The 14,349-nt window shown below is 41.3% G+C and overlaps 1 long non-coding RNA gene across 9 annotated transcripts in view, besides 2 other annotated features; it reads right to left on the bottom strand.

Annotated features, from left to right (window-relative positions):
• Positions 1-14,349, bottom strand: part of CFAP418-AS1 (CFAP418 antisense RNA 1) — a 541,308-nt gene that overhangs the window by 120,759 nt on the left and 406,200 nt on the right. The window lies entirely within an intron of this gene.
• Positions 6,875-7,400: an enhancer, noted in NCBI's record as "OCT4-NANOG hESC enhancer chr8:96694213-96694738 (GRCh37/hg19 assembly coordinates)". NCBI's record gives its function as "activates a minimal SCP1, AML or CMV promoter by ChIP-STARR-seq in primed H9 embryonic stem cells {active_cell/tissue: H9 hESC(primed)}" and the evidence as "EXISTENCE:reporter gene assay evidence [ECO:0000049][PMID:30033119]".
• Positions 7,401-7,928: an enhancer, noted in NCBI's record as "OCT4-NANOG hESC enhancer chr8:96693685-96694212 (GRCh37/hg19 assembly coordinates)". NCBI's record gives its function as "activates a minimal SCP1, AML or CMV promoter by ChIP-STARR-seq in primed H9 embryonic stem cells {active_cell/tissue: H9 hESC(primed)}" and the evidence as "EXISTENCE:reporter gene assay evidence [ECO:0000049][PMID:30033119]".

Here is a 14,349-nt window from a genome sequence, read left to right as displayed (position 1 = left end):
CCAAACAACCAGGCCATGGCATCTTGTTTTCCTCAGAATTTAAGGAAAATGAATAAAACAGCATTAGTGTTACACTAAGCATGCTGTAGCTTTAAGCATGTCGTGATTCTGTAATGCCTGACAAAAGGCTAATACCTGACTCATTTCACTGGAAAATTCAGTATTTTAGCAAAACAGATTCATCTAAATGTGGCCTGAAACTACAAAGGAACTGAAAAACCAAGAAGCAGCCCCTTTCAGTTGTGAAGTACAGATGCCTTTGCTTTTTCATTGGCAAGGGCAATAGTTTTTGCCATTAGATATTTTATTTTCAAGAAACAGCTGTCCAGTTTGGACTTGTCAGTTCTGTGACTATGATTAGTTAGAGATGTTAGAAACAGCAAAGTGACTCAAAGAAGTGGAGCCTACCAAGGCAGCGATCCCATACCCACCTGTAAGTATTTGGGCGGGGTGGGGGGGAATTACTTAATGGAAACTAAGATAATAATTTTCCTTCTGTGAGGGATTGTCTTGATATTTTCCTTTTCAGAATAAAAGCCTATTATAATTAGTAACTATTTTTAGACATATGATTAATTGCCATATAAGGGGTGGGGGAGCATTTTGTTAACTCCTTGTTGGTTCAGAAATTCAGAACAAATGTGAAACAAGCAATCAATGGCCTTTATGGCTTATAGATAATAGTGATAATTCCTTCATATTTGTTTTACTTTGCATTTTATGAAATCATTCTATGCCTTGTATAATTTTTATCCTACTGGTAGATAATGAGAGTATCTCTATTCTAACTTCACAGATTATTGCTAGCCCAGGAGTGGGGAAAGTCCCACATCCTCAACTACCCAGCTATCCTGCCTGCACTAAGGGTCCTGTTTCCACAGCTTCGATGACAGTTAGCATCTGTACATACAAAAAAAAATACTATTTACTCCATCAAATTGTTTCATCTGTTAGCCTTTGTTCTTTGAGGAATGGGAATCAGTCTTTTATTTCTTTATTTATACCAGCTGTTAACTGAGAACACTGTAAATGCTCAATAACTTCTCCTTGATCATTTGATTCAATTGAGTCTAAGGTTGATGTAGAAGCAGTCAACAGAGGCTGAGTTTCCCAGGAAGTTATAGCCTAGCCTATAGCTGTCACTTCCTTATCTACAAGCCACTTGCTTTGCCCCTGCTGTGGTTTGAATATTTCCCAAAACTCATGTGTTGAAACTTAACCCCATTGTGCTGATATTAAGAGATGGGGCCTTTTGGGAAGGGATTAAGTCCTGTGGGTGGCGCCTCTTGGATTAGTGCTTTATGAAAGGGCTACCAGGAACTAGCTTAGAACCTTTTTGCTCTTTCATTCTTCTGCCATGTGAGAATGCAGTGTTCATATCCTTTTTCTCTTTTCATCGCTCCCACCATGTGATGATACTCACATGGCACCAACCAGGAGGAACAGGCCTTGACCAAACATGCAATCTGCTGGAGCCTTGATCTTGGACTGCCCAGCCTCCAGAAATGTAAAAAAATACATTTCTATTCTTCATAAATTACTCAAAGATATTTTGTTACAGCAGCATAAATGGACTAAGGCATTTCCATTGTTTACCTGCATTTATTACCAGAGCTCTTTTTTTAGGTTTAATTAACTCTTGCCCAATATTTATCAGAAACACTGTATCTCAGATATGAAGACACAGCCTCTACATTCCAAAAGAGCAGAAATGCATACGCAGACTTCATCAAATGGTGAGGGTAACAAAGCAAATTTTTACAGGGCAAATGGGAAATATGCCCAAGATCAAAGTTTGTTCTGAAGTTAACATATAGTGTACACACACACACACACACACACACACACACAGAGAGAGAGAGAGAGAGAGAGAAAGCATTAATTCTGACTGCCAATTGTCTTTTAATATCAATTTTCCCCTTCTCACTCAGAAAACTCTTAGGTTTTAGCTGGGCATAGAAGCCATGGAGAATAAAGACAACATTTCCAAGGTTTCTTTGTAGCTAGGTATGGCCATGTGATTAAGTTCTAACCCACGGGATGTAAACAGTTATGCCACATGCTTCCAGACAGTGTTCTTAAAAGGAGCACCTTCTTTAACCTCTTCTTGCTTTCTGCTGGTTTGAATGCAGGTGTAATGATTGAAGGTTAGCACTGTTTGGAACCATTATGTTGGTTCTTCTTGCTAAGGTTAGATTCTGAGTCCCTCATACCACAAACACCAGATCTTCCATGGACAATGTTTTACTGAGACAAAAATAAACATATCTTGTCCAAGCCACTATTATTTTGGGTTTTGTGTCACCTGCAGCTATACCTAAACCTAATGGAATCACTAAAACTAGATTAGAAAGAGCATTACAAATAAAAGTATGTGTGAACTTTCAGTTTCAGTTCAGACATAAAAAGAACATGGACATTGTCATTCCCATTCTTACAATAACAAAATGTTGGGGGATAAAAAGACTTTTCTTAGACTCATCAAAGAGCTAAGGTCACAGAGAAAATTACCTCCCATTATCTAGAGAGAGAAGTACCTCTAGGGAGACAAAGGACCTGAGTATTTGCTTACCTGAAGCAAATGCCTCTGGAATATTAAAATAGAACTTTTGATGAATTCTGGAAGCAAACTGTGAGATAGCATCAAAGTGAGAAGTTTCTGGGGGCCTCCATATATAACTAAACTTTTCTTTCAGAATCTCATCAGGCTGTTAGGGCAGGTCAAGGAGACAGTCCAAAAAGTTTCCCTTGGTGCTCTGACAGGAGGAGGGGAGAGTAGCCATGGTGAAATCCACTAAATTGTTTCACTCTCAGGCTTAATCTCCATGGAGGACATGTCAGACAGCAACAGTAAAATTCCATTCCAGCTGGGCTTAGGGAGCTGTGTTCTACTCTATCCTATTTTACCTAAGAAAGCAAAGGAACAATCTACAGGGGAGAAGTTCTCACAAATGAAGACTGGGAAGACTGGAGAACACCTGCTGAAGGCTGGAAAGGGATAAAGAGCAGAAAGAAGAAAGCTCTATTCCTACAGAAGGGACAGAAACACCTGTAAAGGCCACAACCCTAAAACACAGGCCCAATGTGCACTCCAAAGACTGAGGCTTAATCAAAAGATTAGAGAGTGTGTGGCCCCCAAGACACACATGCTACCATTATGCTAATAATCCTCCAGTGACAATAGCATTAGTTTACAGCTAAAACAGCTACAAGAGAAATATTATCTCTCAGGAACAGCAAGAAAGGGAAGCCCCAAAGCTAAGAGTCAAGACAAAATAAAGTTACTAGAAGAATTTGAACCCTCTGGTATCCATAGCTAAAATAAACAAACTTAGCCCAAATGCAGGTCAGATTGACATAAATCCTCATATAAAAAATCTCTTTACCTTATTATCTATTTCCTTATACAATATGTCCAAGTGTCACCAATAATTTAGAAGACGTTCCAAAAATATAGCCTGAAGAGACAAAGCAATCATCAAAACCAAACTCAGATATGACACAGATGTTGGAATTATCAGACAGAGAATTTAAAAATAACTAACAATTAAAAAGTTAAAGGCTCTAATAGAAAAGGTAGACAACATGTGTAAGAGAAATGGCTGCACCTCAGTCAGGAGTAGGCCAAAGCAGCCTTCCAAGGCAGCGTGACTCAGCGGGTTTGGAGTGCAGGCACACGACCCTGCACAGTATGTAACCATGCCATGCAAGGCACATGAGATGACCACTCACATGAGCTCATGCTTGGCTTGGAGCCCCTATAGTCTGTAAAAGGTATAACTACCCTGCTGATGCTGTACAGGCAGTTTGGCTCACGACCAGAGAGAGAATAAAGCCATGTCAAGACTGCCTATGATTCCACAAGTGTTTTTCCAGCTACACCCCACCTGCCCACCAACTCCCCTCAGACCTCACTTTGGGCTAGAATCTGACAACATGCAAGACCACATGGGTAATGTCAGCAGAAGTAGGGAAACTATAAGAATCAAAGGATATGCTAGAAATCTGAAGATGAGTGACAAATAAAGAATGCCTTTGACAGGCTCATCAGTACACTCAATACAGATGTTAGAAGAATCAGTGAACCTGAAGATAAATCAATAGAAATCACCCAAACTGAAATATGAAGAGAAAACAAACAAACAAACACAGAACAGAATATCCAAAGCTATGGGGCAATATGAAATGGTATAGCATATGTATGATTGAGGTACCAGAGATTAAGGAGGAACAGAAACTAATAACGGCAGAAAATTTTCCAAAATTACTGAGAAATAACAAACAATGGATTAAAAATCTTAGAGAACACCAAGCAGAATAAATACCAAACACACACACACACACACACACACACACACACACACACACAGAGTCATATAATATTCCAGCTGCAGAAAATCAAAGACAAACAGAAAATCTTGAGGGCAACCTGAAGGGTATAGAAAACTTCTTATTTACAGAGGAATGAGGTTAAGAATTATAAAAATTAAAATGTGATCTAAGGTAAAAGCAGGTGGTTGGTTTGGCCCTAAATATTTGAAGTGCCAAATAATAACTTTGTCACACTTGTAAAGCAAGAGCAGGAAACACCTTATTACATGGTTGATATATTTAATTGAGCAGCAGGACTTAGACACTGAATTATAAGGGTAGGGTAAAGATACATCACTCTGCAAGGTCAAATTGTTCATTTATTTTTAGTGATTCAGTCGATCCTCATCTGTTATAGAATTATCTATCTGCTTTACTTTTTTCCATTTTTTTTTTTTTTTTTTTTTTTTTTGGAGATGGAGTCTCACGCTGTACCAGGCTGGAGTGCAGTGGCACGATCTTGGCTCATTGCAACCTCCGCCCTCCAGTTTCAAGTGATTCTTCTGCCTCAGCCTCCCAAGTAACTGGGAATACAGGCACCTGCCACCACACCTGGCTAATTTTTGTATTTTTAGTAGAGATGGGGTTTCACCATGTTAGCCAGGCTGGCCTCAAACTCCTGACCTCACGTGATCCACCTGCCTCAGCCTCCCAAAGTGCTGGGATTACAGGCGTGTTATTTTTCAACTGCAGTACTGTTCCTGAATCATGGAAGTTGTCACATAGTTTCTAAGTAAAGGTCTAAAGGGAACTTACATTGCAGTACAGAGCTTTTTGTATGCCTGTTACATGACTTGAGGAGGTCTTCAGAAATGTATTCTAATCATAGAATATACCCTCTTCTCTGAAATTAAATAGAATTATGGTAGAATATGTTTATCAGCAAGCTGGATAGAATTCAGTTCTGACTGCTTATCTACCCCACCCCCAGAAAAACCAGTTAGCTCAGTGTGGCAGGAGCTTAGGACCAGTTTATAGAAGTATATTTACGGGTTTTCTTGAGCTCAGACCTTGCACACAGCTATTGCATCTCTACTTTGTGACTGGAACACCTTCCCTCTTTGAGAGTTTTGTACGTTATCTACAGAATGAATGAGAGCAATGAGCTTGTACCTAAGCAATATCTGTCCCATGGAAAAGGTGCCATCCATGAACTCATCATCAGCCATTTAAGATGGCAATGAACGAAGTGAAAGTTAAATCTTCAGGTGTTATACTTGAAAAGTCTCTCATTAATTTCAAGAAATGAAAAAACAAGGTCTTGGAATAGATAATGGAAAAAGCAATTTCTGAACAATTTATACGCTAGTGTTCACATAATTGGACACATAAGACAAATTAAGCAGTAAAGAAATTCTTCTGACAGATTGATTTTTATCTGAGAAGTGAATGCTGTGCTTTGTCCCAGACTGGATTTATTCACAGGGAACGTTCTCTGCTGCAGTTTATACAAGTTATCTCACTTGACAGGCTCCAGAGAGACTTGGGACAAATACAGAAATCCCAGTGGAACAGCATAGAAAGCAAGAAATATTTCAATATGTAACATGGACATTTACCTTTACGTAAGTAGGCACACTTCTTTTCCAAAGAAATCAGAGGATTAAGGAGTTAATAAACTTGATTCCATAAAATTTAGGTTTACACAACCAAAAGAACTTAAAGCCAAGATTTAATGTGCCTACTGTGTTTCAAATGTGTTTACGTTTGCTCACTCTCCCAACTTTGTTACCGGCTATGTGTCATGTAATAGGCATACAAATAACTCTGTACTACAACATGAGTTTTTTTGTCTGGTGGACAAAGCCTCATCTGAAAGATAATGGGTTTCGACTAGATCTGGGAGGACAAATAGATATTCTCCCGCATTACAAGGCTGATCAATTCATAGGAGCTGCCTGGAAAGCTGCAATGAAAAGGATCATAAAGCCATGTCCAGACCCAGAGAAGACAAATAAGTAGATAAGTAATGTCGTTCAAGGCCCCAGGAATAACAGCAAACATAACATATATTTCCAGACCCCAAATTATATGATCTCTAAGGCCAGATGTTATTCAAAGTTTGTAACAACTGGTACAACATAAGACTGGCTAATCAGAACAAACAATTGACCAATCAGATGGACACCACTTTAAAAACTGGCATGACCATAAATAATGTGGCTGTATTGGTGCATACAAGGTGAGATAAAACCTGACTCTACACTAATATTCAACAGCAACATTCTACAGTTATATTAATTCTCAGTGGCTTATTAAAATGTTTAAGAAGGATAGTTGGGATGGCCAAAATCCATTTGTAAGAGGTTGCAATTTCTAAAATTATGAGTAGTTATTTTCTTTCTAAATAGGAGACTGGAATTCGTCTCTGAGGCCTGGTAGTGGCCCCTTGGTTGAAGTTGTTATCTCCATGCAGAGATAAAGCAAGGATTTTATGCTGAGATGGACAGATTCCAGGGATTATACGGCTATAGTATCTGTGTTATAAGGTTAAATATTTTCATCATTATGGACAGAATTGCATCTCTGAAGCTTATAGTCTTTTTATAAAAAAATTGGAGTTTCAATTTCTCCAGGAATCTCAGAGCTGTGATCATTTAGCTTCCAAACAGAGGACATGTGCTACAGGGCAATTTCAGAGAAAAGGAAGGTAGGCTGACCCCTGGAGCATGGCGACTGGCTAAAGCTAATGAATGAAAAGAGAAACTTCTAGGGAAGTGGCCTGTGTGTTAGGGGAGCATAGTGTCTGGTTTTGGTGCCCATGTTACATTACATTGTTGTCATTGATGTTGTTTCCTGCATTGTAACTCCATTTGTTATCTGCAAATTTTCAATAACCTTCTCCTAATAGTTTGCTTATAGCTGTTTTCCTCTGGGAAATTAAGGGTCTGGTTTGCATGCATACTTTGGGCAAACACAAAGGGAGGGGAACAGCAGCAGCATGAGGAAAGCTGGTTTCCGCATAACAAAGACGACATCCAGAGAAGTGAAGTTGTGGTCAGGAGCAAGGCCGAGGGGATCAGACAACCAAGATGGACTTTGAAACTTAGGGAACTGGAAAAAACTGGGCTGCCTGTCATAAAATCAATGGGAAATTACACTATTAATTTTCTATTAAAGGATAGTGTGATTCCTTAAGACTAGAAATGCTAAAGAAGGTATTCGTTTAATATCCTCAGAATATTCTGTGCACAAGGACTGGAATATAGTAGACATTGAATGAAATATGAGAATGATTGAGTGAACACAGAAATGAATGCTGTTAATTCCACTCTTTTGTTGCTCCCCCTAACTCCTGCTCATTCTTCAAAACTTGGTTCAAACAACACATCCTTGATTCCAAGCACTTCCTGACATCCCCAGACTGAATGAGTCACATCCTCCCCTGTGGTCCACAACAGGCTGCATATGCCTCCATTTGATTACGTGATGTTGTGGTCATGTTTATGTGTCTGTTTATTCCCTAGACTGTGAGCTTCCCCAGGTTAGTTTCTGTACACTTTCCATCTGTGCATTTCCAGGGCCTAGTGCAAAGTAGTTGCTCAATAAATTTCAAAGGAAGGAAGAAGGGAAGAAAGGAAAGCTATCCTGCTACTGTCTTCTAATAGGATTGTTAATCAATAGCAATATTCCTATCTTCTTCTTACTCACTTTCTGAGAAAATTATGTTTCAAGGAATGTACTCCAGCTCCCAATTCTTCTTTCTGCTCACTGATATTTCAAAGGAAGAGCAAGCTTGATTCTCAGTCTACCTTTTCAAGAGCTGAAAGGCTGTCCCCAGCTCTTGCCAATCTTATAAATGCAAAACCTCCACAATTTTCTTTCCTCATATTTATACCACTCACTGTTGTCACACAGGCAAGCAGAAATACTGATAAACAGGAGGCACAGCATTACCTGGAATGAACCTATCTGGGTTCAAACCCCACCTGTATAATTTCTCACCCTGTGATGTCAGACACAGTTCCTCATCTCTCCATCCCATTTCCTAGATTCTTCAATGAGGGCAATCCTAGCATCTACCTTCAAAGTGTTTCATGAGCTTCCAAAAAAAGTCCCGATGTATGGTGCATAGCCTAATTTCTGGAAATTAGTAAATGTTCAATAAATATTAACTATGATCACACATGTATGATTATAGTAAATATGATAGATGTACATACATATGTATATATATGTAATTGTGTGTGTGGCGAGATAAACATACATGTGTGTTTGTGTGTGTGTGTATATATATATAAATATATATATAAACTTGAGTTCTCCTAATAAAAAAATTCCCACAAGTTTTTACCATCCATAATCATAATCAACATAACCATTCCATTTGTAATTTTTTTTAGAATTGCAAAGATAAAAAGTAGAACTTGCTATACTTTTTCACTTTAAAATTAATTAACAAGTCGCCTATTGAGCATGTACCACACTGGAATAACTAGGGACACAACAATGTAGAAGGTAGATAAGGTCACTGCCCTCATGGAATTTATAGCTTACACACAGCATTTTCATTCTCACGTTGAACCAGAGGACGAGCCACTGCTAAAAATAGCACAGACGGGTGTTACTTAACATTTCCCTCAAATAAAAATTTAATTAAAAATGACATTTTGAATTAACATTTTAAAACATGGGAAATGAAAGGGCAAAAGGAAAAAGTACATTGTGATCTTTTTTGTTGTTGTTTTGTTTTGGAGGTGGAGAGGTTAGGTCTCTTGTTTGGTGACTCCTTTGCTTTTTATACCACCTATAACTCTGTGCTTAATAAAAGTTATTAACATTAACAACAGTGATAAAAATCGGCAATGGACACAGAGCATTTTGTTCCATGAGAGATGTGGAAAGATTGATGCTGACTTGTAGAGGAAACAAATATAAATTACCCACATAGTTCAAGCTCCGAGAACCTGGATGGTCCCACATACAGCAGCCAGGACAGGTTTAAAGAGGGCTGAGGAGGAGATGTTCCTGGGCACCTTGTTTTATGGCACAGAACTGCCACTGTTAGCTCAGAACAAGCTCAAAGCCAAACTTGGGAGCAATAGCAATAACAGCGCTCATTATGGAGCAAATATTATACATATAATAACTCAATTAATTCTTATAAAAACCCTAGGTTGGTAGCTACTCTTATTGTATCCATTTCACAGATAAGAAAACTGAGGCAGAAAAAAAATTAATAATTGCCAAGGTTGCACAGCAAGAAGGGATGGAATAGGGATAAGAAATAGGCTGGCGCAGCCAGGCGCAGTTGCTCACGCCTATAATCCCAGAACTTTGGGAGGCCGAGGTGGGTGGATCACCTAAGGTTGGGAGTTCAAGACCAGCCTGGCCAACATGGTGAAACCCCATCTCTACTGAAAATACAAAAATTAGCTGGGCATAGTGGCGCATGCCTGTAATCCCAGTTACTCAGGAGGCTGAGGCAGGAGAATCGCTTGAACCGGGAGGCGGAGGTCGCAGTGAGCCAAGATCACGCCACTGCACGTCAGCCTAAGTGGCAGAGTGAGACTGTGTCAAAGATAAAATAAAAAATAAATAGGCTGGCGCAAGAATGTGTGTGATTAACCACTAGAGCAAGCTTGTCCAACTGTGGTCCAGGACAGCTTTGAATTTGGCCCAACACAAATTTTAAACTTTCTTAAAACACTATTAGACTTTTTTACAATTTTTTTTTTTTAGCTCATCAGCTATTGTTAGTGTTAGCGTATTTTATGTGTGGCCCAAGACAATTCTTCTTCTTCCAATGCAGCCCAGGAAAGCCAAAAGATTGGATACCCCTTCACTAGAGGCACTGCCTCTCTTTCCTCACTCCCTCCCTACCAGCTGTTACCCTCCCAGTGAAGTAACTTCTCTCAGCACCCTACCAATGGTATCCTGACCCAGTACAGAGAAGTCTCCATATTCTAATATCCCTGTCCCCACTCCTAATCCAAATGGTCTGCAGTGGCCATGACCTAGGGACCCACTTTCTGTTTAAGTTGTAACAATTTTTTTTAATATAAGACTTCCCTAATTGTAAAATAATATTTCTTCATGAAAAAGTCAAAAGAGGTTTTATGGTTTTGATGGCAGTGGCGATCTGTCTGGAGCAGCCACTGCCATGATGCCAGTTGCAGTGGGGGAGGCACGGCCGGGCTGTGTGCTTCACGGAGCCAGCGGGAACCAGGAACAGGCAGAAGCCCTGCCCCACTTCTGAGTTGGCAGGGCAAGAGCCTCACATTCCCTGGGCAGAGCTGTGGCTGCCCACCCATGGCTATGGACCTGGGCATCCCTGTGCTCTTGGGGGCTGGGAGCAGGCAGGAGCCCCACCCTCCCAGGTGCAGCTGCAACCACTCAAGCCACAGCTGCGGGCCTGGGCATCTCTGCACTCTCAGGAGCCCAGGAAGTCCCCCTTCCCCCGCAGGCTCAAAGGTATCTGCTCCCACTGCCTGCTGTCTCCCTGCTCCTGGCACCCGCTCCGATCTCGGAATGGAGTTGAGGCCAAGCCTGGGTGCTTTCACAACCTGGCTGGCTGAGCACATGCTTGGGGCAGTGCTGATATGCCAGCCCCATGCCACCTCAGCCAGCTCTGGACTTCTGGTGCCAAGAAGCATGGGAGTGAGGCCGAGGGGGGTGGTGGTGAGGGCAACTTGGTGTGGGTGTGCAGATTCACCTCAGCAGGAATAGCCTGGGTGCCATGAATAGCAGCAGGAGGCAGACAGGCCCCTGGGCAGAAAGGGTTGGGTCCCAGGTGAATCCCTACCTTCAAGCCAGGGAAGGCCTGAAGCCTGGAGGCCAGGCTGCCAGTCCCGTGAACCAGAGTGGGAACATATGGTGCTTTTCCCAGGCCAGCCCATGGCCACCCATAGACCAATCAGTGCACACTTCTGCTCCTCAGAAGCCTAAAAAGCCTTGGACTCAGCCAGACCCAAAAAGAGACAACAGGGCAACCAGCTGTGGAGAGGAGCTACCCACCCAAGGGTCTCCTCTCTGCTGATGACAGGATGACCTGCCTGTGGAGAGGAGCTACACATTCTAGGGTCTCCTCTCTGCTGAGAGCTGAACACTCACTGGGACACCCTGGCTGTGGAGAGGAGCTACCCACTGTGAGTCTCCTCTGAGCTGTTCTGTCACTCAGTAAAGCAGCTCTTCACCTTGCTCACTCTCCACTTGTCCACATACCTTATTCTTCCTGGGTGCAGGACAAGAACTTCAGATCTGCTGAATGGCGGGGCTGAAAAAGCTGTAATACAAACAGGCTGAAATATGCCCCTTGCTCATCATGTTGCAGGAGACAAGAAGGAGAGAAGAGCTGTGGCCCTTCTGAAAGCCCAGACCTAGGAGTTCCCTGAGCCAGGGCTGTGATACCCTCTTTGGGGCTCTGTGGTTCCTGGCATCTCCAAGCTTCCAGGTGTAACCACATTCCCCAGTGCCAGCCATGGAAACTGCTTGCTGTACACCTGGTCCACCTGCAGCCTTGCAGGGAGCTAGCACCTATAGGTACCTACCCCACCACAGCTGGTGTGCTTGGCTGTGTGCAGTGGCCAGACCCCACGCTTGCTCACTCACACACCCCTTGCTGCTGCACTCACCCTGGGCAGGCATGGGATCCAGGCTGGCAGTGCAAGCCAAGTGCAGCCAGCCAGGTCGAGTAGACACAGTGGGCCCAAGCAAAACCTGGGCAAAGGCACCACTAGCCGCAGAGGATTCTGGCTGATGAAGCAACACCCCAAGGATCCCATGACAGTTTCATAACCTAGATATTATTCATATATATATATATATATATATATATATATATACACACACACACACACACACACATTTGTACATTTTGTACATTTTTAGTTTACACACAACAATGGTTAAAAACATTACCCATTTTAATAGCTACACTGGAACCACCAGAGGATGTGAATTTGAGCCAGTTAGCATTTTGAGATATATTAGAACAGCAACTGTCATCCTAAGTAACACAGAAAACTAATCTGCACTTATAATTAGCTTACAAGCTGAATTACCCCTTCCAGGTACATAAGCATTTAAGTCAGTGAGGATCACGCAGTTCTTCAGGAAAATCCTTACAAGCCAAATGGGGAAGGATTTAGAAAATAAGTATAACTTTCAGGTATCCAAAAACTGTACCACATGAGTGATTTCCTTGTCAGTTTATGGTGGAATCTGAACAAAAGCACACTACCTTTGATCCAGCTGAGCCACTGAGTCCCCAATTTCATGTGGCTTATGCATATGGGTATAGTTATATATCAGAGTTCAATTAAAAAGATCAGAGCCATTATATATGCATTTTTACAAGAATTTGACCTAACAAAATTGTGGGAACAATTTTCTCCACATCTAATACTGGAGCATTGATGGGCCTCTCAGTTCTCATGGTAATAGGGTGACCCAAGGTCAGTTTCCATTTTTACTAAAACCCAGTAATAATCCAAAAGCTTGTCTCAAAAGAAGAGTAGTTATCTGCAGAGAATGGCATGGCTTTGCTACAAAATCCAAAGAGTATGAACTATGATTCAACCATAGAGAACCACAAGAGGCTCTTACAGCATCCCTCCCTGACACTGACATTTTAAGTACCATCAGATTTGTTGGGTCACACAGTCCAGGTAGTAGAGCAGCTTGCATACAGCCTGGACCAATTCCAATGCCTTTTCTATTCTTATCCCTACTCAAAACAGGCTTCTTTTTGGGTAATGAGGTAAGTGGCTTAAAGTAGCATGCCTGAATAGATTATACGCTGCCTCTGAAATACAAAAGTATCCACTAGGTATTGTGCCTCTTTGTTAGTGGTAGGAAAGGTAGGTAGGAGATGCAGTGACTTTTCTTTCACCATTGAAGGAATAACTCAAAGTGCTCCAGCCTACTGAAATCCTAGAAATCTCACCAATATGGCAGATCCTTAAATTTTTGAGGTATTTCTCATTCTGAAGCATACGGTACCTTAACAATGTGTCTAGAGTAGTTTTTACTTCCTACTCACCAGATCTAAGCAGCATGATACTATCAATATAATAGGGCAGTATTATGTCCTGTAGAAAGGAAGGCAATCAAGGTCCCTACAGACGGTATGATGCTATAGGGCTGGAGAGTTCATATTGCCCTGAGGTAGGACAGTAAAGGCCTTTCAGCTGGCCTTGCTAACTTCAAAAAAACAAAACAAACAAACAAACAAAAAACCTTCTTCCAATGGTGTTTACTAACAGGCATAGAGAAAAAAACATTTGCATATTAATAGCTGCATATGAATTGCCAGGGAATGGGTTGATTTGCCCAAGAAATAAAACCACATTGGAACACCAGCTGCAATTGCAGTCACTACCTGATTATGTTTACAGCAGTTCACTTGTCTTAGTTTGGGCCACTCTAGCAAAGTACTACAGACTAAGTGGCTTATCAACCACAGAAATTTATTTCTCATAGTTCTAGAAGTTGGGTGTCTGACATCAGGGTGCCAACATGGTCAAGTTCTGGTGGGTGTCCTCTTCTGGGTGGCAGATGGCTGTACCCTCTCAGGGTAGAAGGAAAGCTAGAGCACTCTCTGGGGTCCCTTTTATAAGGACACAAATCCCATTCATGAGGGCTCCATTCTCATGACATAATTATCTCCCAAAGGCTGCACCTCCTAATACCATCAACTTGGGGGTTAGAATTTCAACATATGAAATCCTAACAACTTTCAGTCCATAACAGCCACTATCATTCTCTAAGATCTGTCTTCTACACAGGTCAATTATATGAAATTCACAAAGATAAAGTGGGAATCACTAATTTCTGAAATTATTCAAAGAATTCAGTACTGATTTTGATTTACTATTTTGATAGGTAGAAGCAGTTCTAATGGCTTCCACTTGGCCTTTCCTACCATAATAGTCCCCACTCCACAGGTCAGTTGTGGGTATCTACCAGTTGCTGACTGTGTCTATTCCAATTATTCAAGAACCAAGAAAATAATCACAGAGTGGATTCAGGATCCAG

The sequence above is a fragment of the Homo sapiens genome, chromosome 8 (assembly GCF_000001405.40).
Source record: "Homo sapiens chromosome 8, GRCh38.p14 Primary Assembly".
Lineage (NCBI taxonomy): Eukaryota > Metazoa > Chordata > Mammalia > Primates > Hominidae > Homo > Homo sapiens.
The sequence above is the reverse complement of the archived record's forward strand: the minus strand, read 5'-3'. Positions and strand labels throughout refer to the sequence as shown.